The sequence below is a fragment of the Homo sapiens genome, chromosome 3 (genome assembly GCF_000001405.40).
Source record: "Homo sapiens chromosome 3, GRCh38.p14 Primary Assembly".
NCBI classification, from domain to species: domain Eukaryota; kingdom Metazoa; phylum Chordata; class Mammalia; order Primates; family Hominidae; genus Homo; species Homo sapiens.
The window spans coordinates 181,974,440-182,001,998 of record NC_000003.12 but is presented as its reverse complement, the minus strand read 5'-3'; the positions used below and the strand labels follow the sequence as shown (position 1 = coordinate 182,001,998).

General features: G+C 39.2%; 1 long non-coding RNA gene across 1 annotated transcript in view; it reads right to left on the bottom strand.

Annotated features, from left to right (window-relative positions):
* Positions 1 to 27,559, bottom strand: part of LINC01206 (long intergenic non-protein coding RNA 1206) — a 58,315-nt gene that overhangs the window by 8,680 nt on the left and 22,076 nt on the right. The window contains exons 6-7 of the long non-coding RNA NR_104146.1: positions 1,493 to 1,810; positions 239 to 881 (exon numbers count right to left, since the gene is read on the bottom strand). This is a non-coding gene — a long non-coding RNA (long intergenic non-protein coding RNA 1206). The remainder of the gene's footprint in view (positions 1 to 238; positions 882 to 1,492; positions 1,811 to 27,559) is intronic.

Genomic DNA, 27,559 nt, shown 5'->3' with positions numbered 1-27,559 from the left:
AGCCAGGTCATCACCTTTTCCTTCGGTGGCCCTGCAGTGCTCTATTCCTGTTGCTATAGAATCACACCATCACATTATTTGTTTACCTGTTTATCTGTGTTACTGGGGTTTTAGATCCCTAAGGAAGGCATTGAGTCTCATTTAATTTTTTGTTGTTTCTTGCACATAGTGCAGTGGCCTCTGTGTTTGGGTAAAACATGTCAAGTAAGGAGTCACTTTGTTAAAAAGCCCAGCCTACCTTCCAGGAAGCACTGAACTGCCGGAGGTAAATCAGCACCAGAGCAGTAGGGATGGCTATTCCAGGAATAAGGACACCAGACTCAATTGGAGCAGACACTTTGATTTTCTCAAATGGATATGACCTTGCTTCTGTCTCTCTTTCTCTGGGGCCAGCTAGACCTCAAATGTCCCATGGAGAATGCTCAAAGGGCTAGACTTTTGTTCTTTACTGTCTGTTTTGAATCCCTAAGTAGGGGTAAACACACACACCACACCTTTACACTTCCCCATTCCAGAATTAAACAGTGGCCACCTACTCCATTTGCTGATTGAAGATACAGACAGTTCATTTCACATGGGCATTTTAAAGTTCAGCTGGGGCATCTGCTTCTTCCAGAAAGCCATTCCTCACCTGTCCAGGCTAGAATCCTTCCTCCATGGACTCCTGGCACTCATCTCCTTCACAGCTTTTCACCACCTTATGCTGATATTCAATTTCTCTTCCTAGACAAGGGGGCTTCCTGGAGATGAGTCTTTTCCTTTGCTGTGTTACACAGTCCCAGATTTTGGTACATTTCTTGGCATGAAACAGGAGTGCAATAAATGTGTGTTGAGCCAGACTCCTGTTCCCGTCTGACCCCAGCTGACATACTCTGAGGCCCCTGCAGAAAGCAAACAGGTGTTACCTTGATGTATAGTTTCCACATGAAGGAGGAAAGGGTGGAGGTGGAAGGTGGGCTTATCACTAAGAGAAACCTTTTTTAAGTAGAGTCTGCAGATATTTGAAAGAGAATAATTTGTTTTGTCCTGGTTCTAAAATCATAGGTAATTTCGCTTCATCAGTAGCTTGGCCCTTTGTTCTTTAAGAAAACTGCATAGGAATAACCTTGCCATGCTATTGCTACTATTAATAATGGGTAGGCCTTATCACATTACATATCGTATTATGAAAATTGAGTGCCAACACAAGGGAAAACTGATAGGAAAAGCTACCTAACTGTTGATAAGGGAGCAGACTTCCTTCTGACCTGGATTAGCTCCCTTCTGGGTGTATGAATAAACTGCAACCTCTTCAGTCCCAACCCCCTCCCCACACACGCACACAAATCAAAGCAGTCAGGGAGAAGGCTCTGCCAAGTGCTGCCCAGCCTTCCTAAAGAATTGGTTTCCATCTGCACCATGGCCAGCAGTCTGCATTCAGAACGACCAGCAGGCCTTTCAAAAGGCAGGCACACAACCCAACCCACACAGTTTTTTGTTTTTATAAGAACACCTTCCCAAGGTTTCCACTTCAGTCTTCCAAATCACACTTGTAAATGGGGCGTCGTCCTCACTTATGTGATCTTGTCTTCATTCTGCGTGAACTAGAAATTCCTCTAAATTGAAGGCTGGGCGGGGTGGGGGCGGTGATGAGATTCTCAACAGATGCACCCTTCTTCAGCAGGGGCTGCCCCAGGGATTCTGCTCTAGAATTTTAGCCCTCCTCTTCTCAGTGTGGCATTCTGGGAGTCTGCAACCTGCAGCGGCTCCTCGGTGGGAAGGAGAGAATTTCCATCTACAGTTCATTCAACACAGTTTTGCTCCACACCTCCTGCAAGAGGAATGAGGGCCTCAGAGTCCAGCAATCCACGGAAAAACTCAGAGGGGAAAGCCTCCTCAGGCTTTCTTTTACCTACAAAATAATCAGTTGAGGGCTGAAACCAATAAGGATCTGGTTTAACGTTCTAAAAGAGCCTCTTATTCTTTCTGGGGAAACTCTGCCCAATGATCCAAACTGATTTCCATCATTGCAAATGCAAACTGTGCACACACACACACACACACACCACACTGTGGAGAATTTTTTTGAGGTAAATGGTGGTGTTGCTAACATCCAAGTTCAGCACCACGTTTTAACTTTCCATCACCAGACCTTATCTTTCTAGAAAACAGATGAAAAGGTCTGAGGGAGGGTGTGATCATACAGATGGGAATGTCTTTTATTAAGAGTGTTTTCCCAGACCTTAACTAAACCTCATCCACTTTTGTCAGTCAGGCCCGACAGTTGAGAGCAATATTAGAGGAGGTAATTGCATGTATCAGTCAACAGCTTTTGTCCCATGGCCGCCGAGAATTACAGTAAAACGGGCACAAGAAAACAGCATACTGGATTAAAGGCAAGAAAAGATCTTTCTCCAGTTTCTGCCTATTCACCAGCTGTTATGTTCGGCTGTAGAGACAGAAGCAGCAATAATATCTGGGGGAAATCTAGCCTATGACAGTCTGGGTTTTTCTCACTTCTGCTTTCCCTCCACCTGGAAAGTGATTAATGTTTGACTTTAAAGGGAAACTTTTTCAAAAAGCATTCTATCTCATCATAGCAACCAATCTATTAACCATATGCGAATTTCTCTCCCATTAAAGTACATGAACACATACAAACCCAAACCTTCGATCATTTTTTGGACTGACCATAAAACAACTACCTCAGAGCTTTTGATGTCATGTAGTAACAGGTCCTAGTAGTTGCTTAAGTAAACAGTTTGCAAGACACAAACACATTTTATGTACATCTGATTGTAAATTACACCAAGCCAAACTCTGATGAACAGTTAGCATAGACGTCTGAAAGTTGCCACAGGTAAGTAGGAGCTGCAGTTAGAGGAAGGGAAGACAGAAGAGTCTAACCTACCCCTGCACCCCTGGCACAAATCCTTCCAAGATAAGTATGATTGCCACCATGTCCCTGGGGATCCAGACACAATAGATTGGCCCCCAAATCCCATTGTGAAAGGAATTCCCTTTCTCTCAACCGTGACAAAACAACTATCTAAGACGCCTCCAGAGGCTTTGGATAGGAAAGAGGGTAAGAAGCACATTCTTAGTGCTAAGTTGAGTGTACCTTAGAAAGAGAATTGGCTGACCAGGAAGAAATGGAGACCAACTTCAAAGAGGCGGCAGGAACCAGAAAACAGTGGGTTGGAGTCATTTACAAGGGACTTAGTGAAACAAGGGGCAAGAGGTAAGTTTGGTCAGCTTTACCATGGCTCTAACAGAGGCAAAGCTGGGACACTAATGCAGAAAGCTGTTTGTTAATGAGTTTCATCCTTAAATCAACTTGAAATCCCATGGCATATGAGGGGACTGAAGGTCAACTTCATGATAAAGCACTGAATAGTTATTATTTACATTTTACGGATCAAGAAATCAAGGTATAGAGAGATTAGGCAACTCAATCAAGTTAATGTAGCCAATGATAATATAAACAGGATTTATGCTCAGCTCTGCCTCCTCCAAAGCCTTACTCATGCCACTAAAACCATCTCACACTGTGATAAGTGCATGTTCAGCAGTACTTGATCTAAACACCAGGATGTAAGGAGCTATAGGATAAGCCCATAGTGTCTTCCTGGGGCATCAAATTTATTCAAATATTGTTGGATATCAAAAGGAACAGGAGTAGGGTGGTATATGATTAATTGCATTCATCAGTATTTCAAAACACACTTTTCACATTAAATTCCATGGTTATATTAGAGATCAGGATGCAATATTTCTATTTTAAAAGTTTGAATAGGTAATGAATTTATACGATTCAAAATTCAAGCACTAGGCCGGGCGCGGTGGCTCACGCCTGTAATCCCAGCACTTTGGGAGGCCGAGACGGGCGGATCACGAGGTCAGGAGATCGAGACCATCCTGGCTAACACGGTGAAACCCCGTCTCTACTAAAAATACAAAAATTAGCCGGGCATGGTGGCGTGTGCCTGTAGTCCCAGCTACACGGGAGGCTGAGGCAGGAGAATGGCGTGAACCCGGGAGGCGGAGCTTGCAGTGAGTCGAGATCGCGCCACTGCACTCCAGCCTGGGCGACAGAGCGAAACTCCGTCTCAAAAAAAAAAAAAAAAAAAAAAAATTCAAGCACTACTAAATGGTATGAAGTGGAAAGTTTCTCTCTCACTTATCCCCCAATTTTCCTCCACACAGGCAAATAATGTACAGGTTAAGCATCCCCATAATTGAATATCCAGAATTCAAATTGCCCCAAAATCTGAAATGTTTTGAGCCCTGACAGGACCCTCAAAGGAAATGCTCATTGGACTATTTTGGATTTCAGATTTTCAAATTAGGGATACGCCACTGGTAAACATAATGCAAATATCCCAAAATCCAAAAAAATCTAAATCCAAAACACTTCTGGTCTCAAGCATTTCAAATAACAGATAATCTATATCACCTATTTATGCATATGCATAAACATAAGATGATAAGTATGTATATAGCCTGTTTTCCCTTTCTAAACACAAGGAGTAAGTAGCCCACTAGACATGTTTTTCTGCACTTTGCCTTTTTTAAAAAAAGCAAAAAATCTTGGAGTTCATGTCTACACAAAAAGTACTTCTTTGTTCTTGTTTACAGTTGCATTAAATTGACGCAAACTTATTTATTTAGCCAGTCCTATTGGTGGGCTCTCAGGACGTTCTGAAAACTTTGCTATTACAAACAATGCTTACATGAATAAACTTTTCATGGATTATTTCACACATTTGAGAATATATATGTGGGACATTTTGCTACCTGTGGAACTGCTAGGTGAAAAGGCATATGCATTTTTAATTTGGATAGATATTAACAAATGTCTTTCTGTAAAAGTTGCGCCAATTGGCAGAGAGCCATTTCTTAGTATTATCAAACTCTTACATTGCCAATCTGATAGGTGAAAAATGGAATCTTGCTGTAGTTGCAATTCACATTTTTTCTTTTATGAGTGGGGCTGAGTGGCTTTTCATGTGCTTAAAAGCCATTTCTACTTCTTTTTCTGCAAACTGTTTATTTCTATTTTTTGCTCTCCTTTAATACGGTGGTGGGCTTATTTAATTGTCTTATAGAGTTCTTTATGGAGAACAGATCTAGCCCTTTGTCTGAGACATGAGTTGCCGAGTTTCTACAGGCCCTAGAATCTACCTTGTCTTGTCAGTTTCCACTAAGAACCTCAGCCTCAAAATGGTAGCACCAGCGCCTGGGACCTGACCATTTTAATGTTGATCCATATACACCTACTCTAACTATCATGAAACCTACTCAGCTGCCTGGTCAAGCTTCCTTCCATAGCTTGTGTTTATTCCCCAGGGGCTGCTCTTCTGTAAGGGACACCTACAGCACCCTGATCTAGCTACTCCCTCTCTAGCCTTTCCTGATAATGTGAGAAAAGGCCAAGAGCAGGCACATATTCTCCACACCAAACCTCAACCCAGGATGCATAAACACCACTATTTCTCATCTGCTCCCAGTATCATGTACAGTGGCTAACATATATTGGACATTTACTATGTGCCAAGTTCTGGTGAAAGCGCTTTACATATATTAACTCATTTCATCCTTAAAAAAATCCATGAAGGTCTTACTATTATCTTCAGCCCATTTACAGAAGATAACACAAATGACAGAAATGTTAAGTTCAGTGGGCCCTCTGTATCCATGGGTACCACAATTAAGGATTCAACCAACCATGGATCGAAAATATTTGAAAAAATATAAATAAATAATAATACAATCTTCAAAAACAATACAAATAATAAACAATATGGTATAATAACTATATTTTACATTATATTGGGTACTATGAGTAATCTATAGATGATTTAAAGTATATGGAGGATGTGCATAGGTTATATGCAAACACTACATCATTTTATGTAAGGAGCTTGAGTATCTGTGGATTTTGGTATCTGCTGGGGGTCCTGAAACCAATCCTCTGAGGAGATCAAGGAATGTCTTGTTGTGCATCAAGAGTCATAAAGCTAGTTATGAAGCCAGGATTCAAAACTGGGCAGTCTGGACTATATACCAATTTAATCCTACCCTGACATTGCTATAAACTTCGGCAGCTATCCTAGCCAACACTCAAATTACATAAATCGCACACACACACACACACACACACACACACACACACACCATTACGGATCAATTTTACTAATGTTATGACGTTAAGAAAAACATTATCCTAGTACCAAAATGATATGAGGCCTTGTTGGGTTTATATAAACCATGATATTGCTAATTAAAGATATTCTGTTCTTTAGCTTGCCTCATTTCAACTGAAAGCCAAATCAATTTGAGCTTAGTCTGGTGAACTATCCATCAACTTTCAAAAGATCACAGGAAATAATATTTGGAAAAAGATGGTTAAAGAGTTGTGACATGGACTGGTCCCTTGTCTTCGAGCTCTGAATTTATTTCTTCTACTTGCGCAATTCTATTGCTGAGACTTTCCAGATCATTTTGCCTTTCTATAAGTGTGTCCATTGTTTCTGAAGTTTTGATTGTTTTTTCTTTATGCTGGGTATTTCCTTGACTATTTCTCCCTTCACTTCTTGTATCGTGTTTTGGATTTCTTTGCACTGGGCTTCGCCTTTCTCTGGTGCCTCCCTGATTAGCTTAATAACTAACCTCCTGACTTCTTTTTCAGGTAAATCAGGGATTTCTTCTTGGTTTGGATCCATTGCTGGTGAACTAGTGTGATTTTTTGGGGGGTGTTGAAGAGCCTTGTTTTGTCATATTACCAGAGTTAGTTTTCTGGTTCCTTCTCATTTGTATAGGCTCTGTCAGAGGGAAGATCTAGGGATGAAGGCTGTTCTTTTGAGAATTGTCTATTCATGTCCTTAGCCCAATTTTTGATGGGATTTTTTTTCTTGCTGATTTGTTTGAGTTCCTTGTAGATTCTGGATATTAGTCCTTTGTTGGATGTATAGATTATGAACATTTTCTCCCACTCTGTGGGTTGTTTGTTTACTCTGCTGACTGTTTCTTTTGTTGCAGAAACCTCTTTAGTTTAATTATGTCACAGCTATTGACAATTCTCAAAAGAAGATATACAAATGGCCAACAAACATATGAAAAAATGCTCAACATAACTAATGATCAGGGAAATGCAAATCAAAACCACAATGAACTAAAAGAAAGAAAAACTAAAAGAAGATAAAGAACTAAAAGTAGAACTACCATTTGATCCAGCAATCTTACTACTAGGTGTCTACCCAGAGGAAAAGAAGTCTTTATACAAAAAAGATACTTGCACACACATGCTTATAGCAGCACAATTTGCAATTGCAGAATCATGGAACCAACCCAAATGCCCATCAATCAATGAGTGGATAAAGAAACTGTGGTATATATTTACAATGGGATACTACACAGCCATAAAAAGGGAATGAATTAATGACATTTGCAGTGACCTGGATAAGATTGGAGACTATTATTCTAACTGAAATAACTCAGGAATGGAAAACCAAACATTGTATATTCTCACTGATATGTGGGAGCTAAGCTATGAGGACACCAAGGCATAAGAATGATACAATGGACTTTGGAGACTTGGGAGGAAGGTTGGGAGAGGGGTGATATGGTTCAACTCTGTGTCCGCACCCCAATCTCATTGTGAATTGTGCTCCCATAATTCCCACATGTTCTGGGAGGGACCCAGTGGGAAATAATTTGAATCATGGGGGCGGTTTCCCCAATACTGTTCTCATGGTAGTGAATAAGTCTCATAAGTTCTGACGATTTTATTGGGGGTTTCCGCTTATGCATCTTCTTCATTTTTCTCTTGCCGCTGCCATGTAAGAAGTGCCTTTTGCCTCCTGCCATGATTCTGAGGCCTCTCCATCCATGTGGAACTGTAAGTCCAATTAAACCTCTTTTTATTTCCAGTCTCAGGTATGTCTTGGCAGCATGAAAACGGACTAATACAGGGGGCAAGGGATAAAAGATTACAAATAGGGTGCAGTCTATACTACTCGGGTGATGGGTGCACCAAAATCTCACAAATCACCACTAAAAATCTCACTAATGTAACCAAACACTACCTTGTACCCCGATAACCTATGGAAAAAAAAGATTTGACAAAAAAAAAACTTCCTGCCTACTAGAGGCTTATAGTCTATTAAGAGATAGGAATTAAACTAACAACAATTAATTTAAGAGAAATTATAATGCTGAAGAAGTTCTGCTTGGATGGAAGTAGGCACAAATGTTTTAGGAAGCCCTCAGAATGGCCTTCAGAGTTCAAATTAGGAAAGGTGGTAAAGGATACACAGGGTAATCATTCACTTCCGAGGTAGCAAGAAGCTAACTGTAACTGTGGTTCAAAGGGCCAAGACTAAAAGAGAAGAAGCTGTAACAGTCAACAGAAACCAGACTGTGAAAGGCCTTGCATGCCATGCTAAATGTATCTTTGATCCTAAAAGTGGTGAGGGTCGTGGAAGTACATTAAGCAGGAAAATGACATGACCAAAATTGGTTTTAGAGAGATGTCTCTAATGAGACAGTAGACGTAGCTAAAATTGTTAAATAGGTGACATTTGAATATTCTCTCATCTGCCTTTTCAGAATCTTTTCCTTCCCATCTTTCTCCCTGACTTCCTGCGCAGCAAAACTGCTTACGGTGGAAATAATTCATAGTAGGGTGCAAATGACTGATAAGACTTAATCAGTTATGTTTTGATAAGAGACAAAATCTTAAGCAAAGGAATGAATTCAAATGTGGAATCTTAAAAAAATCAAATTAAATTGATGGGATAAGTATCTGTGAAGGAGAGACCCCATTGGCATTTCCCAAATCACATTTTAGGAACTTATCTGCCACTTGTCTCATTAGCACAAAATCTCTCTCTCTCTCTCTCTCTCTCTCTCTCTCTCTCTCTCTCCCTCCCTCCCCCTCCCCCTCCCCCTTGCCACAAGTAGGAGGTGGGAGGATAAGAGGCAGCAATGCTGGAGAACACGTACTAATCGCAAGTGGATAGATTTGGCTGATCTTCCTAATCGAAGAACCCAAGCCCCTGCAAGAGTTCAGGTTCCCATCGAGATACACAATTATGTTAGTGAAAGCGTAGAAAAACAGGCACTCTGAATTTTACTGGTAAGGCTGTCAACTGAGGCAACTTCTATAAAAAGCAATTTGACAATATCTATTAGAATTGAAAATGCATATATACCTGACCCAAAAATTCTACTACTAGAAATTTTCACACACACACACACACACACACACATACCCCTGCAAAATCATGATTATTTATTACAGTATTATTTATAATATCACAAGATTAAAAACAACCTAAATATCAAATTGAGACTGTTTTAAATAAATTGTGACATATACACAAAATGGAATACCATGCAGCTATAAAAAAGACTGAGGTAATTCATTACATAATATGTAAAAATATCTTCACTATATAGCATTAAGCAGAAAGCAGAAAATGTGGAACAAGTACTAACTAGTATTTGTCCACAAAAGGTATTGGGAACAGAAGGAAGGTGAATATAGTACATATATTTTTGTCTGTGCATGCATAAGACAACTGCAAGTATACACAAGACAACAATAACTTTGATTGCCAATAGGAAGGGGAAATGGGTTGCTGAGGGAAGAAGACTTTACTGTTTTCCCTTTTGTACCTTCTGAATCATGTAAATATACTACTTCTTCAAAACTAAATAAGTTACAAGAAAAATTCTGTCCCTGTTCTTAAATAGCTCACAGTCAAGACAGATAAACAATTACTGTACAATAGGGAAGAACTAATTGAAACTATCTAATAGGCTACAACACAGAAGCAAGGAAAAGGTTAAAAAATTTCTCTGGGCCAGAGAAAATACAATTGGAAATTATCTTATTCCTCCCATTTCAGCCAACATTTCTGTGGACCCAACAATCCTCAAGGCCCATGTACTACAGGTATATTTAGGTCGTGACTCTTAGCACCCAGAAGGCTCTTTGTCCAGTGCCCTTACCTTACATATATATAAAGCTGGACCCCTGCAGGATGAAGGGACTTGCTTTGAGCCACGTGGATGGTTGGCAATGTCCCAGTCCTGAGCCCACCACAGAGTCCCTTCCTGTAGCAGACACTGACACAACCACACACGCAGTGACTTGGTAGTGCTCTGTATCGGCTGAGACACAATTTGGTCTGTGGAGACTCTGCCTGCCAATCCTCTTTGTAGGCCCTGATCAACTTGTATGCCCACAAACCAGTTAGATGTTGCCCCTCCCTCCTTAGGGGCTCAGACAAAATTAAGCAAACTTCTCAGAGGAGGACAGAGAAATCATCAGCCTTTTCCTTCCAGGAAGTGCTCAGCATAAAAGGAGTCCATTTGGCCTTTGCCACCTTGTCAGACCAGGATCACAATCATGGCTGGACCTTTCCATTTGCTTCTTATGCATAACAAGCCATGTGGCCCACTGTGCAGTTAGTTAACTGAAATTTCAACATTTAGCCAGTAATCTTGCTTTCAAGGAAACAAAATAATTGTTTATCAGCCTGTCATTCCCAAGCTCACTCCAGTCTTTAATTTCTCTCTAGCAATAAGGCAATTTGTTTTCAATTGCAAATCCTTGCACAACCTGGCATGCAATAGAGAGCAAGTATGGCCTTCCATACCTCATGGCTTTAGAAACAGAATAGTGCCTAGCCTAAGGCATGCTAAATTTCATCATGATTTCAGAGCCCTGGCTTGCTAACATTTCTTTAGTTTTCCACTAAACTGTTCTTCCTGTCCAGGACCCTCCACCTGCTCCCACAACTCTACACAGTTAACCGTTGATCTCTCCTCTGCCCTCATCATCAGTCTCTTTATTCTTCTTGTTTCTTCCTATGCACTTCAGAGCAGCAGCCCAGTCTTAAAAATAGCTCCCCCCTTGATCCTTCCTTCTCTTTCATCTCTGATGCTATTCCTTTTTCCCTTTCACTTCTAGATGCCTTTGGAATATGAAGAGGAAAAAAATCACACTTCAGCAAATTTAACATGAATAAAAATATAAATGACAAAAGTAACAAATATTTATTGATCACTTACTTTGCAGTAAGTACTGAGCTAAATAACCTAGCATGCATGACCTCTGAATGAACAAATATTTTGTTTTGCAAGCTATGTTTGTCTCAAATAATGATCTGCAGAAACATAGACTATGGTTGGTTTCAATACAATCCATTCTCTAAAACGACAGGAATCAATTGTGTGACCATACACCCACTTTCAAACAGCCCTTGGCTGTGTGACAGCCATACTCTAGAACCAAACTATCTGGCTATATGATGCTTGCATTATTGCAAGTAGTGGGAGGATGGATGACAACCTCTCCCCTTCTACCCTAAGGGACCATGAGATAAAGCTATCTTAGGTCTATTCATATGCCATCACAACTCAAATTTCAACATCTCTCACCACAACCACATCACTCCTACTTGAAAATGTAACCCAAATGTGAAGCTATACAACACCACTACCCAACAGCCACAGTATTAAAAGATAGGAAGAGAAAGAAATACATGAAAATGCGAGCTGAAAGTTTCTCACATGCATCTACAAAATTCTTATTAAATCCAATAGCCTGGGATGGAGACTTTTAATAATGTCATTATAAGGAAATTCCACTAGAACATTGAGATAACTCATAAGAGTTTGTGATCCTATATGTTTTGTGCACCCACTTTTCCCTTTTTAAAATTGTTTGGTCGTGGAATACTTATCTAGCCATTCTATTAAGATAGTATCTGAACTTGGTTTCCCTGAAATCTTTCTCCCTTCTAATCATCTTCCTCCCACATACTATAATAGTGATACTTAAAATGTCCTATCTGAAAAAAAATATTTGAATAGAATTAGGAAACAGATATATCATCACTTATCTATGCTGCCCACTAATATATCACAAGACCAAGAGGTGCTCAATAAATATGCTTTAACAAATACATAAATTATTTAGTGACCAGGAAAAGCATAAAACAGGAAGCTTATTGTTGCCTATCAATCAACATTTTTAATTTTTTTTTTTATGTTTTTGCTTTTTTAATGATTCTTCCAAGCTGTCAAGAATGCAGTACATTGAGTGCCCTGGTATTATTGACAAAAGAGAATTTGACAACATTGTTTTTCAAAGAGTCCTTTCAACTTTATAAATTAACCCTATAATATGGGTTATATGATAGCCTTAATATAAACAGAAAAATATCTTATTCAGAAAATGTCAAAATTTGAAAATACTAAAGTTCAGCAATAATGGAATGTTGAGTAACTGGTGGTACAAATAACTCAATGAAATATTATGTAGCTATCAAAAATGATCATTAGATTTATACAATAACATAAGTGAAAAAGTAACAAAAAATGAAGATTGTAATAACACTCATGCAAAACAAGCAGAGACTCGTGCAAAAAATGCTAACAAGAGGAACTAGATTTGAATTTTGGCTCCCCAGTTTATTAACAGTGTGAATTTAGATGGATTAATCTCTATGGCTCAACTTCCTCACATTAATTACAATGCAATAATAGTGATAAAAATAATAACTCATTTCAGAGGAGTATTGTGGGGAGGTAAATGAGTGCTGTGGCTGAAATAGGATAAGCACTCAATAGATGTGATTAATATAGTGATTATTATGAGGGCAATGGAACTATGGTGTTTTGTCTTTGTTTCCCAAATCCTCAATGATGTGTAACATTAATATACATCGTGATGGTGATCTCTTCATCTCTCTACCCAGTCTTCTCTAAGAAATATCCGAAACTGGATCATTTCAGCCATTGTAGTCTCACTCTCTCTTCCTAGGAATTCCCATAGTGCTTCCTTTTTGAAATGATTGTTAGTAATGTTTTTATTTTGCCTGGAGTGCATCACTACCTTTTATACATACATGCTCATCTCCAATCCCCCGACCATGGCTCTCAGGAAAGGGGCATCTTGAGTCCCTCTCATTAGCCCTTCAGCATGCAACCAAATGTATCTCAATAGGTTGATTTAATTTTTAAAACATGTTGATTTGGCAATCATATAGATAGAAGCATGTAGAGTATCCAGAATTCCAGAATTCCATAAATGTTAGCTGTTTTTCTGTTTTTTGTGTTTTTTTTTTTACCATTTATTTCAGGGTCAGGGGTACATGTGCAGGTTTGCTATACAGGTAAACTTGTGACATCGTTGTTTGAGGTACAAATTATTTCAGATTCTTTCTTAATCATATTTTATTTCCATAGTCACAAAAGAACAAAAAAAAATTTTTTTAAATCTTTGGGTTGGTTTTCTTTGGTTTGTGTTTTACATCCACTTAGTTTTATAACTCAGTAGAGCCTGCAAACAGACAACATTCTTTTTCATAAGATGAACTACGTCTGTATTTTCTCTGTACAGAAATAAATGTAATAAGCCAGGTCAGTGGTGATTAATTTCCAGAACAAAGGATTTACCAGGTGGAAAGCCAGAGGGTAGGCAGTATAAGACTTACAGGGACAGAACCCTTTGGAAGGCAGAATTCTATTCAAATTCAATTAAAACTATGCTCTCAATCCAAAGGTAAATGATTCTGCTTAAAGTTTTTTGTGCCTACTATTTCCCTAGGGCAAGAGCCCTGTAAGCAGATACCTTTAATTGTGCCAGCTCCTTTTGTATTTTTCACAATTAGCCTATCTCCAATTATATAAACACATACACGATTACAGTCTTTGGTTATGGAAGGTATTTACAGGAAAATAAAGGTAACTTTAACTTTGAGAGTTGGTTTTAGGACAAACAAGATTAAAGCTTATATGGATATACAAAATAATAGACTAATGCTATTGTCTGCTTCCCTTAAATTATTTTATTAGACGGAACATATTAATTATAATGAAAGCAAACTTGGACTCTGGGTTTCTAAAGAAAATTCCTTTGTAGCATCACAGCAGGATTTCCTACCATTTTTCTCTTTCTGATGAAATTAACTTCCCATAGTTGGTCAGCAGGATAATCTAATTTTAGCCAATCAGCTTGGGAGCTGCTGTTGACCTCACAAAGGGAGAGAAAGGTATCTGCAGTCATAGCAACCACTCGCTCAGCTCCGATCATCTCTCTGGACCCTTCCGCCTAATGACAGACACCCGCTTGCTTCTTAGATGATTAATCTTTTCCCCTGTGAACCTCCTTGAATACATTAGCCAAACAAGTCTGATAAATTTGTTTATCCCAAGACAATCATTAGAAAATTACCTGCAAAACTAATTCTCACTAGAGCAGTTTGTGAATGGAAAGCCATATGGCAGATAAAAACAGAAATATGCAATAAAATCTCTTGCTGTATGTCACAACAGGTTAGGAAACTTTTTTCCACTTTGAACTTTATCATTTTTTGCTAAATCACAAAAGCATATTAGCCTAAAAGCCATTTTCCATGAGCAAAAGAACATTGATTCTAGTCACTAGTCACTCCTCCAATCAACACTACACGCCTACTATGCGCTAGGGGCTGGGGATGCACCCGCGAATATGAGCTATTGCTGGCTTCCACAATCTCACATTCCAGTGGGAGGAGACAGATGTATAAATAGATAATTACAACATACTATAAGGGCAGTAAAAGAGGCAAAACTGTGGGCTCTGAAAGCATTGGAAAGAAGTGGATAACTGTTTTCCAGAATCAACTAAGATTTTACCGTAGCAACATTCAGATTAGGTAAAATAGCAGGACTTTTCCAAGAGATAGAATATTCTTGGCAAAGAAAATAGCATTGGAGAAGCATGGACTTATGGACAATGGTGATAAACTCCTGGGCAGCAAACTGCAGCAGCTGGGTATTGGCTACATCTTTTTTTCCAAGAAGTTGGACTGAAAAATGTGGATTGTAACGGGGTTGAAGTACCCTATAGGATAGCACATGTTAGGGCCTCAAGAAGACTGAAACAACGGGGATGGACAGGAAGGGCCACTTTGGAAGTTCTGATGTTGAATCAAAAGAATAAAATTGTTGGTGTACCCTTAGTGATGCTCCTCACTTATGGAAAGAAAGAGAAGACAATAAGCACGTGTGTGGCCACACTGCTAATATGGGCCATTTCCATACACAGTCACTAGATCCACCACTAAAGGGTCAGTTCATTGAGTGAGAGACAGGGCTGGGTTTCTGTGTTGTTAGGTGCTCCAAAATGAGAGAAGGTATTTAAAGCAGCTGATGAGACAACTGTAACTAGTTGAGTAGGGTTATTAGTGTGGGCAGAACCTTACTGACACTATAGGCTTTTATAAACCAACACTAGACAAACTTCACCAAAATCAGGGCTTGAGAGCCAGGTGTCTGGACCAGTAGCCAAAGCTGTCTGAGTCCAGGTGGTGATGCTACGAGTGGTAGGACAATTGGGCCCATGTCAGTTCTGCAGCCACGCTGTGATTTCACCAAGGCAGGCTTCAGAAACGCTGACTGGAATGAAAGGTGTCATGTAGGTAAGCCTATCATTGATTAGGTTCTCCAAACCAATTCAGGAGCTTTACCAGGACATGTGCTCTAGGTCTAGACTGCCCAAGCTTGAGAATTTCTACATCTGCGGTTCTGTGCGAGTATTCCAGTCCAGGTTTCTAATTTTCTCATGCCTTGCAAGAAGAATGTTGCCCACCATAAATCTGCTCCACAGAAGCCTCAGAAAGGAGCCAATCATTAGACTGAGGAGTCTCTATTTTCTATATTTGCCAAATTTTTAACGGTGAGCATGTATTAGTTTTGTAATGAAAACATGTTTTTAAGAGATAGAAATTTCAACATAAATTACCTCAAAAGCTGTTCTTCTGTAATAGCAAATACACAAGTTGGACACAATTATCAGAAGCACTTACACAATTATCTGCACTAGGCTGGGCATGGTGGCTCACACCTGTAATCCCAGTGCTATGGGAGGCTAACGCAGGGGGATTGCTCGAGCCCAAGAGGTCAAAACCAGTCTGGGCAACAGAGTGAGACCCTGTCTCAACACCCTTCCATGGCCCCTGCCAAGCAACTGCACTATACCAGGTCCTGTGCAAAGCCCTTCACAGACTTGAGTCATGTAATCCTCACAGCAGCCCCTAGAGAGGGACTCCATTTTACCAAAGAAAAAACAGCATTGGAAATGTACAACTGAAAGAAGGAAAGAAAAGAAAAGGAAGGAAAGAAAAAAAAAAAGAAAAAAGTTTTGTCAAGGTTCCAGATAAAGAGAATATTGCCTGGAAATTAGGTTACTACTAAAGGTTATTTTATTTTTAATTTCCATCCAATGACTATATTCTGAGCACCTGTATGTCAGGCTCTGAACTACAAAAAGAAACAGGTGTTCTGGTGGGGAGGCAGGCACATGGACAACTAAATATAAGATAATGTGATACGTTCCTTTAGAGTGGGCTATGCAAAGTGCAGATATTAGCCCATGTGAACCGTGTCTGAGGAAGCAACAGTTCCACTTCACTGTGTGCCAAGCTTCATGCTTGAGACCTGATAAATAGTACTTCATTTATACTGCATGACAACCTCAAGGGGTGCTATTTTTCTCTGACATTTTATAAATGAGGAAAATCAAGCTAAGAGGTTATAGAGCTTATCCAAAGTCATATAACTATTAAACAATAAATCTAGAATTTGAACCCAGATCTATGTAATTCTAAAGTTTGGGTGCTTTTCACTATGTTGTAAAGGTAGAAAAATACACTCGAGTCTGGGCGCGGTGGCTCACGCCTGTAATCCCAGCACTTTGGGAGGCCGAGGTGGGAGGATCAAGAGGTCAGGAGTTCGAGACCAGCCTGACCAACATGGTGAAACCCTGTCTTTACTAAAAATAACCAAAATTAGCTGGGCCTGGTGGCATGCACCTGTAATCCCAGCTACTTAGGAGGCTGAGGCAGGAGAATCGCTTGAACCCAGGAGGCGGAGGTTGCAGTGAGCTGAGATAGCACCACTGCACTCCAGCCTGGGTGACAGAGCAAGACTGCATCTCAAAAAAAGAAAAGAAAAGAAAGAGAGAGAAAGAAAGAAAGAGAGAAAGAAAGAAAGAAAGAAAGAAAGAAAGAAAGAAAGAAAGAAAGAAAGAAAGAAAGAAAGAAAGAAAAATACAGTCAAAGCCCATTTCACAAGTTTGGGTTTTTTAAGATTGGACAATCTATCTGTATTTAGAAACAAAATCCCATATTCACATAATGAGGGGTCCTTCCTTAATTTCCTTGTCTTCCTCATTCTTTCTCCACACAAGCAGACCAGGAGGCAGCATTTTCCAAAGGACAGGGACACAGGAAGCTGCCTTGTGAAAGAACATGTGTTTCAATTCCAAAGGACATAAGCTACAAGCTTAATATATATATAAATATATATTTTTTACATATTTTTAAATCTCTGCAGACCCTGGAGATTTGCTGGATACACCATTCTCTCCCTCCCACCCCCTTTTTGCAAAGGAGCTCTCCATCAATAATATTAGGTCCTCTGTCTTTCCCCTCTGAAACCCAAATTCAAACTATTGACCCTAATCTTACCTCTGGAAAGGTAATGCAATGTGTTTAAAACTCAGGGAGACAAGAGGCTGTGAGACCTACATGAGAATAAGAAGCCTTCATCGTTTAACCCAGGACTGCCACAAATTCTCAGGAGTATAAGGCTGAAAAAAAAAAGGACCACTTATACAAAATGACCTTTTTCATTTTACTTACATTAAGCAGAGGGAAGTAAGTTTTAGGACAAATCTATCTAGGCAAAATGTCTGAGATTCTCAGTGGGAAATGTGCACCTCTTTCTTTTTGTTCATCCAGACCTTGTTTTCTATGGGAAAAGTCACAAGGCCCCTGGGGCACAGGATACCCCATGAAGATATAGATATTTCAGGAAAGTAGAACCAGCAGAATGAGAATATTTTGGGCCAGGCGCAGTGCCTCATGCCTGTAATCCCAGCACTTTGGGAGGCTGAGGCGCGTGGATCACCTGAGGTCAGAAGTTTGAGACAAGCCTGGCCAACATGCTGAAACCCCATCTCTGCTAAAAATACAAAAATTATCCAGGCGTGGTGGCGCTTGCCTGTAGTCCCAGCTACTCGTGAGGCTGAGGTAAGAAAATCGCTTGAACCCGGGAGGCAGAGGTTGCAGTGAACCAAGATCATACCACTGCACTCCAACCTGGGCAACAGAGTGAGGCCCTGTCTCAAACAACATCACCACCAAAAAAAAAGAAAAAAAAAAAAAAAGAATGAGGATATTTGGTTCCAGGGCAAAGTCCTTCTGAATTAAACAAAGGATCTAACCAGTGGTTGGGAATACCAGAACAGGGTTCAGATGTCCTGGGAAAAGGATTGGCTGACAGCCTTTGGAAAGCTGTTGAGGTCCAGAAAGAACCACCATTTCTAGCAGTGAACTAGAAAGAAAACCAGAGGCCAGGACAGAAACTCAGACAGACCACATTAGTATCTGTAGAACAATCTCCTGTCTCCTGCTCTCCTACTTTCCAAGGTTTCTTCCAAATCATGTTGCACACCATTTACAGAAGAATTATTTCGCTCTCCTGCTCAAGAACTTACTATAGCTCCTTGTTGCCTCCTATTACTGAAGTGATCATACATCCTGATTTGCTCAGTCTGTCTTACACTTATTATCCTTGTGTAATTATTAATGGCATCTCCTATTGCCCTCAATAGTGTTCCATTTCGTTGATTAATCATGTGGTTACCATATCTTCTACTTACTTCAAACTTCTCTGCCCAATTTGCCATTCACTTTTATGCCCAGGAGTTCTCAAATAATTCTGTGCTCATTTAAAGGGATTACACTATATATACCATTATAGGTTGCCCCTGCAAGTTGAGTAGAACTCTTTACTGTCCTGAGCCATAATTCTTAGATATTCTAATAAGTTACATGTTTAGTAAATTACATATTCCAGTAAGCACAAACTCGTTTTTGGAGCTGCAATGTTAAACACAGGTGTAGTGGAATCCTGACTTTGCCACTGACAAGCTGTGTGGCCGTGAGCAAATCATATCTCCTCTCTCAAATGTTAGTTTCCATATCTGTAAGCACAGAGACAATCATAGAACCTAACTCATAGGGTTAGAAATCAGCTTTAGGAAAGAAGATCCAGGTAAAGTGCTTATTACAACCACACTGGCTAATGGTAATGGTTATGACTACCTCCCACCAACATCCCACTCAGCACAATGCTGCCTGATAGACGGCTCCACTACACAATGAGTCCTCACTTGCAGCAATGATATGCTGTATGCATTGATCACAATTTGGAGCCTTATTTGGCAAATGCTGGAGTCTTAGGTAGTGTTCCGCAGAAGCAGAGACTTCGATGGGGATTCTTTTCAAGTGATTTTTTAGGAGTGTTTTCTGGAGAGGGAGCATGAGGGATACAGGAGAGAATATGTGGGGAGGGGAGGAGATATTAAGCAAGATGTGATCTCAGTTTCAGATGACCTTCAGTTTGATCCCATCAGGAAACTCTGGAGCACAAAGTATATTATAATGTTAGCCCTAGTTTTAGCAAGTGGTCTCTATTAGTTTGTGATATCCATGTGGACCTGTTATTTCCCACTATGCCAGACAAACTCATGAAGACTCAGGTGGCTTGTGCATTTAGTATGTGTAAAGCAATGCATTTTTCAAAATCCCAGTTTCTTCATTTCCAAAATGGCAATGGTAATACTTATATTGTAGGTTGTTGTAAGGACTTAGAAATAAGACTCCTAATCCTGACAGCAAATGGGCACATTTTTTCCTCTCATCAGTCACATTTCTCTAAGTGTATTACCCATGGTATCTAGGTTCTTACTTACATGTCTTTGCTCATGATCTTTCTCCTCTCACACTTACCCCCAACCACGACCCCAGAAAACAGTGCCTGAGCACCATGCATAACACACACACAAACACACCCTTCCCCTTAACGTGCACCCACGTATCCTCTACTCCAAGCTTCCCACTTCAAAACCCTGGTCCAAGTCTCACCTCTTCCATCAGCCTAACAGATTTCCTCAAATTGATATTCACCTTGCCTTTCTCTAAAATACTTTTCTACTTAATTCCATAGAGTTTAACATTTAATTGATTCCTAATTGTTTAATATTTGTTTGGTCTCTTCTAACAAGATTTTAAATTTCTACTCCTCTATCCCAACCCTGCCACAGAACTCAGACAAGACCTAGACACCATTTTGCTTAGATTAAAAAGTATTTGTTGATGAGAAGGACAGTGAAATAACTTGGTTGACCATTTCAATTCTCAGATTCTCAAAGCTAGCAAAATCCTCCCCTGTGATCCAGAGGTGCTTGGCTGACAACCTGAACCAATAGTGCATGTAAAATGAATGATAATGGCTTCCCCTGTAATTTAGCTCACAGATGAATCTTAGGTGAGATTTTTCCATTGAGTTCTAACAGTTTCTGAAAATTGGTGCCATAGGAGGTGCAAAGTGGAATGCCCAACACAGCTCTGATTATCAACTGCAGTCTATGCATGCATTACAATAACAACAGCAGGGTTAGGTTGCTTTCAGCATCCTGAAATCTCTTATGAAATCAAAGCTTAAGTATTTAACAAGTACGGTGTGTCCTAATTTATGCAATAGGTATACCTCTGGAAAGTTAATGTAAATTGACATTTTTGGAGAGAGAGAATCAAATTTTATTTAAAATTCCCTTGGAGTATTCTCTAAGTAATGGTATTATGATTTGGGGAATTTTCCTGTAAATAATTACTTATTTATTTAGTTAGTTTTATGTAGAGTTTTTGGTCCTTTCAAATCAGGATGTATCTATATTTTACTCTCAGACTTTTAGAAAAATAAATGAAATTAGAAAGCTACCATTATTCAATACTATTCCTTTTTTTGTCATCTTTTCCCCCAGTTTAAAATAGGTGAATTTACTTATTTTAAAATATCATCCATTTTATATCATAAAATATCAACACACTTCACAGATGAGACAATGAAAATTCAGAGAAGTTAAATACCCAGGGTTACAAAGGCTGCCATAACAAACTACTATAGGTTAGGTGGCTCAAAGAAGAGAAATTTACTTTCTCACAGTTCTGGTGTCAACAGAATTTATTTCTTCTGAGATCTCTCTCCTTCACTTGTAGATGGCCATCAGGTATGGACTGAATGTTTGTATACTTCCAAAATTCATAAGTTGAAGCCCTAATCCCCAATGTGATGGTATTTGGAGGTGGAACCTTTGGGAGGTTATTAGGTTTAGATAAGGTCATGAGGGCAAGGTCCCCATGATGAGATTAATGCCCTTATAAAAGAAGGAAGAGCTCTCCCTCCCTCCCTCTCTCTCTCTCTCTCTCTCTCTCTCTTTCTCTCCCCCCCCCCCCTCTGTGCATGCAGGTACCAAGGAAAGACCACACGAGGATATAACCAGGAAGAAGGCCCTCACCAAGAACCAGACCAAGCTGGCACCATGATCTCAGACTTTCAGCTTCCAACATGGAGAGAAATAAATGTTCACTGTTCAGGCTACTCAGTCTATGGTATTTGCGTAGTAGCCTGAGCTAAGACACCAGCTTCTCCCAGTGTCTTCATGTGCACTCCTCTATGTGTATCTTTGTCCTAATTGCCTCTTTTTACAAGGACACCCGTCATTGGATTAGGGCCCACACCAATGATCCCATTTGTCTTTATCACCTCTTTAAGACCTATCTCCAAATGTAGTCACATTCTGAGGTACTGGGGTTAAGACTTCAGCATATGAATTTGGGAGCAGGGACACAATTCAGCCCATAACATACAGCTAATGAGTGAAGAATCAGGACTAGAACCCAGCAACCCCAAGACCTACTTCAAGACTCTCTTCCACTGTACCTCTCTGTCTATATTGTTTTCCTAGCTACATGTTGTTTGTGGAATTAAGAATAAGGTATCAAGTAAATATAAGTTTTCATCTACATTTAAATGTTTCATCTACGGGCATTTCTTCTATGGTACAATGTAACTGAAAAAAGCTTTGCCTTCTACAAAATTGCACATGAAGAGTAATAGAGTTTATGGGGAAAATAAGGTTGGGCAGACCACTCAGTATCTGTGAAACTTTTGTAATAGAGCACTAACAAATACTTTAACAGTCTTTCAAAAATCTTCAGCAGTTTAATCTCTATTGGCATTTACACCTAGCTTCAAATTAGTCTCCATTATTTGCAACCTTAAACTCCACAGTTTGGGAGTCTTCTTCCAGATGTATGAATTAAATAAGATTTGCTTCTAATAGAAGCCACTTTTATCAAAATTTTAAAATCTATTCCTGAGCTCAGACTTCATAAAGATGTTGTCCTCATATTCTCCCCTAATATTGCTTGTGAGTACCCTGCTCATTGGGACCAGTGACTCTTAAAGTTATCCTACTCTGTAAAGTCCACACATGCTTCTGTCTTCAAGAACTGGTAAAATGATAATTATCATACTAATAGCTACCATTTATCAAGCACATACTATATGTCAGGCCCTCAGCCAAGTCTTTTACACATTTATAACCCTATGACAACTCTACAAGGTAGGCATTTGTATCACTGTTTTTCAGTCAAGAAAACCGAGGCTCAGAGAAGTTACAAAACTTTTCTAAAAACACACAGACACCCAACCTAAATCCAGAAGTTTATAGTAATCTGTGTTAATGGCCATCCTGTTAATGAAGACCCATTATTTCAGGCATTTGTTATCTTTTCCATTTGTATTCTATTGTATTAACTTCCCTCACAATCCAGACTTCTCTGCGTATTTGAGGAGCATCATATTTGCCAACATCAAGTCATTAATAAAAACACCGAACAGAGCAGGATCAAGATTAGACCCTTCCCTCTTCTAAAGAATTTCTCATGGTCATACAGTTATACTGTTAATCCATTCCACTCTTTTACCATTTAATCTGCACTGGATACCCACAGGTTTTCACAGGTCTATCATCTTGCTGAGATTAACATACAGTTAGTCAATGCATTTGGTTCTTCAATCAAGCCAATAAAAACAAATGTCTCTGCTTTTCTTTTAGGCACTTACAACCATCAGATATATAATTTGTTTTCAATTATTGCCTAAGATCAGCATTAAAATTTAGTAGTCCAACTTTTTCTTCTTTTGGTAACATCAATAGCATCACTTCATTTCCTATCTACTGTCTCCACTCACATTGTCTATAACCTCTTGTTAAGTTTGAGCACTGGATTGCTCATTACATCTGTAGACTATGGACATATCCTACATACTTCACTCAAAAATGGAGCCATGACTCCATGTGAAACTATGGATTTATTTAAATGTAAAATTCTTATTCTATCTTAGTCAAATATATCCTCCTAGAATATATACCCTACATTTTAGAGTCTAGAGACCATGCTGCTCAACACAGAAAAAAGAAGTTGAATACGACTGTCTTCTTTCCACCTTCTACTAATATTACATTCCAAGTTGTTCATTTTTTTCTTCTCTCTTTGAATATCCTTTTGTAGTCTTTGGAGTTTCCTGAGGTGCAGGACATTTTAAAATTAACCCTTCTGGCCGGGCATGGTGGCTCACGACTATAATCCCAGCACTTTGGGGGGCCGAGAAGGGTAGATCACCAGAGATCAGGAGTTTGAGACTAGCCTGACCAACATGGTGAAACCCCATCTCTATTAAAAATACAAAAAATTAGCCAGGCATAATGGCAGGCGCCTATAATCCCAGCTACTCGGGAGGCTGAGGCAGGAGAATCGCTTGAACCCAGGAGGCAGAAGTTGCAATGAGCCGAGATTGTGCCATTGCACTCCAGCCTGAGCAACAAGAGCGAGACTCCATCTCATAAAGAAAAAAGAAAAAAAAAATAACGTTGTTTTAGCAAACACTATCTTGGTTAAATAGCACATTAATAGTCTTAATCATATTTTTAACTCAACAAAACATTGTAAACTCTGAAAATTTGGGAATTTAAAATCAAAGCCACAATGAGATACCATCTTATACCAGTCAGGATGGCTACTACTATGAAAAAGTCAAAAAATAACAGATGCTGGTGAGGCTGTGGAGAAAAGGGAACAATTATACACTGTTGGTATGAATGTAATTAGTTCAGCCACTGTGGAAAGAAATTTGGAGAACTTAAAACAGATCTATCATTCAACCCAGCAAACCCATTACCGGGTTATACCCAAAGGCAACAAGAGCAAAACTCCATCTCAAGAGAAAAAAAAAAAAGAAGAAAATTAGCCAGGTGTGGTGGCGCATGCCTATAATCCCAGCTACTAGGAAGGCTGAGGCAGGAGAATCACTTGAACCCAGGAGGCAGAGGTTCTAGTGAGCCAAGATCACACTACTGCACTCCAGCCTGGGCAATAGTGCAAGATTCTGTCTCAAAATAATAATAGTAACAATAGTCAGAGATTTTTAACAGGGTAAAGAAGGAAATTGTCTTCTATGAATTCATACAAGGTTGGTTATAGTGTCTTCCTCTATGATTTTTTTAAACAAGAGTTGGTATCACTAGAGAGACAGAAACAGGAAAATCTCATCTGATTTCAGAAACTGCACTATATTTTTTTCTGATCATATTCAAAAATCGAATTTTCTATACTTTGCTTTTATTTTCACTAAGAAATGTTCTTTGATAAAAGTGACTCAAACTTTTTATGAAAGCTGAGTTAAGCAGTAAAATAATATTTTATCTTAGCTATTAAAAAACACACCATTGGATGGGTGTGGTGGCTCACACCTGTAATCCCAGCACTTTGGGAGGCCGAGGCGGGCAGATCACTTGAGGTCAGGAGTTTGAGACCAGTCTGGCCAACATGGTGAAACCCTGTCTCTACTAAAAATACAAAAATTAGCCAGGCATGGTGACATGCACCTGTAATCCCAGCTACTCAGGAGGCTGAGGCAGGATAATCGCTTGAACCCGGGAGGTGGAGGTTGCAGTGAGCCAAGATTGAGCCACTGCACTCCAGCCTGGGTGACAAAGCAAGACTCTGTCTGAAAACAACAACAACAACAAAACAAAACCAAAAAAAAGTGCCTTCATTCTATGAAATGTGTTAAAGATGGGAGAGTAAATTAAAATTTATGTTCTCACATAAATTTGAAGGATGCTGTTCGAGGCCACAGCCTATTTGCTCATCAACATTCACATCTAGACCTGAAAGCCTGTCACATTGTCAAGAAGACACTACCTTTGGGAATCAAGAAGACACTACCTTTGGGAATCCAATGACTAACTGAAGCCAAAGACAAATTCAGGCTCTCATATTGCTACTCCCAACTGAACTTCTGAACTTTTCACAAGTGAGTGAATCTAAAACATTCCAGGTTGATTCACATAGTTTGCTTGACATAACCTGTAAAAGACTAGAAAGAGAAAGTTAACTCTCCCCCACCAGATTGTAAACCCTATGAGGGCAAGCCTTTTGACTCATTTATGGCCATGTCCTTTGTGTCTGGCAAGAAGTGTGAGAAAATATTTATTGCACTAATAAATAAATGCATAACTTTTCCTTCTATACTTGTATATTTTATGTGTAGCATCTAGGCTTCTGCATCTAAAATAATTTAAAGCTTTTTTTTTTTTTTTTTTTTTTTTGGAGATGGAGTCTCACTCTGTTGCTCAGGCTAGAGTGCAATGGTGCAATCTCAGCTCACTGCAACCTCCGCCTCCTGGGTTCAAGCAATTCTCCTGCCTCAGCCTCCCGAGTAGCTGGGATTACAGGCATAAGCCACCATGCCCAGCTAATTTTTGTATTTTTAGTAGAGATGGGGTTTCGCCATGTTGGCCAGGCTGGTCTCGAACCCCTGACCTCAGGTGATCCACCCACCTCAGCCTCCCAAAGTGCTAGGATTACAGGCATGAGCCACTGCACTGGCCTAAAGCTTTTTTTTTTTAAAGGTAGTCCATATCTGCAGCCAACTGATTTTCAACAAAAGTGCTAAGAACACACATTGGAGAAAAGACAGTCTCTTTAATAAATGATGCTGGAAAAATTGAATGTCTACATGCAGAAGAAAGAAACTAGATGCCTTCTTTTCATCATATACAAAGGTCAACTCAAAATGTATTAGACTTAAATGTAAAACCTGAAACTATGAAACTACTAGAAGAAAATAAGTGAAATGCTTCACAACATTAAATTGGGCAAGGGATTTAAAAACAAGACCTCAAAAGCACAGGCAACCAAAGCTAAAAATAGACAAAAGGGATTATATCAAAAAGCTTTTGCACAGTAAAGGAAACAATTAACAGAGGGAAGAAACAACCTGCAGAATGAGAGAAGATATTTACAAACTATACATCTGACAAGGGGTTAATAACCAGAATATATAAGGAACTTAAGAGCAAAAACAAATAAGCTGATTTAAAATGGACAAAAGACCTTAATAAACATTTCTCAAAAGAAAACACACAAGTGGCCAACAGATATATGAAAAAGTGCTCAGCATAACTAATCACCGGGGAAATGCAATCAAAACCACAATAAGAGGCCATCTCACTCCAGTTAAAATGACTATTATCAGAAAGGCAAAAGAAAATAAGGGTTAATGAGGATGTGGAGAAATGAGAACACTTACACATTGTTATCTGGAATGTAAATTAGTACAGCCATTTTGGAAAACTATATAGATGTTCCTCAAAAAATTAAAAATAGAACTACCATATTATCCAGCAATCCCACTACTGGGTATATATCCAGAGGACATGAAATCAGTATGTCAAAAGATATTTGCAATTCCATATTTATTGCAGCAGTATTCACAATAGCCAAGATATGGAATCCACCTGTGTATCCAACAACAGATGAATGGATAAAGAAAATGTGGTATATATACACAATGGAATACTATTCAGCCATAAAAAGAAGAAAATCCTGTCATTTTTGACAACATATATAAGCCCAGAGGGCATTATGTTAAATATAACCCAGACTCAGAAAGACAAATATTACATGATATCACTCATATGTGTAATCCAAAAAGAAGTTGATATCATGCAAGTAGAGGATAGAACAGTGGTTACCAGAGACTAGGGAGGGGATGGTGGGGAAAATGGGGAGAGGTTGGCCAATGGGTAAAAAGTTACGATTGGGTAGGAAGAATTAGTTCTGGTGGTTTTTTTTTTTTTGAGACGGAGTCACTCTGTCGCCCAGGCTAGTTCTGGTGTTTTATTGCATAGTAGGGTGACTATGGTTAGCAGTAAGATATTGTACTACAAAATGGCTAGAAGAGAGGCTTTTGAATGTATTCATCTCAAAACAATAATAAATGCATGAGGTGATGCATAAACTAACTATCCTAATTTCATCATTATACAACAAATACATGTATTAAAATGTCAAATTGTACCCCACAAATATGTATGATTACAACTTCATTAAAAAGTAAATAAAATAATAAAGGCAGCTCGTAAGTAAGAGCAGAGAAAAAGGGAAAAGGAGGTGTTCCCAGCACATCAAAATAGAATCCCAAAATCCAAATCAATGTGTAATGAATGTCTACTTTATAAAATGATTGAGGTTCTGCCTAGTAATGCTTGATTTCAAAATGTGCACATGAGAATTCTTAAAATTACCTGGGCCATTATCTA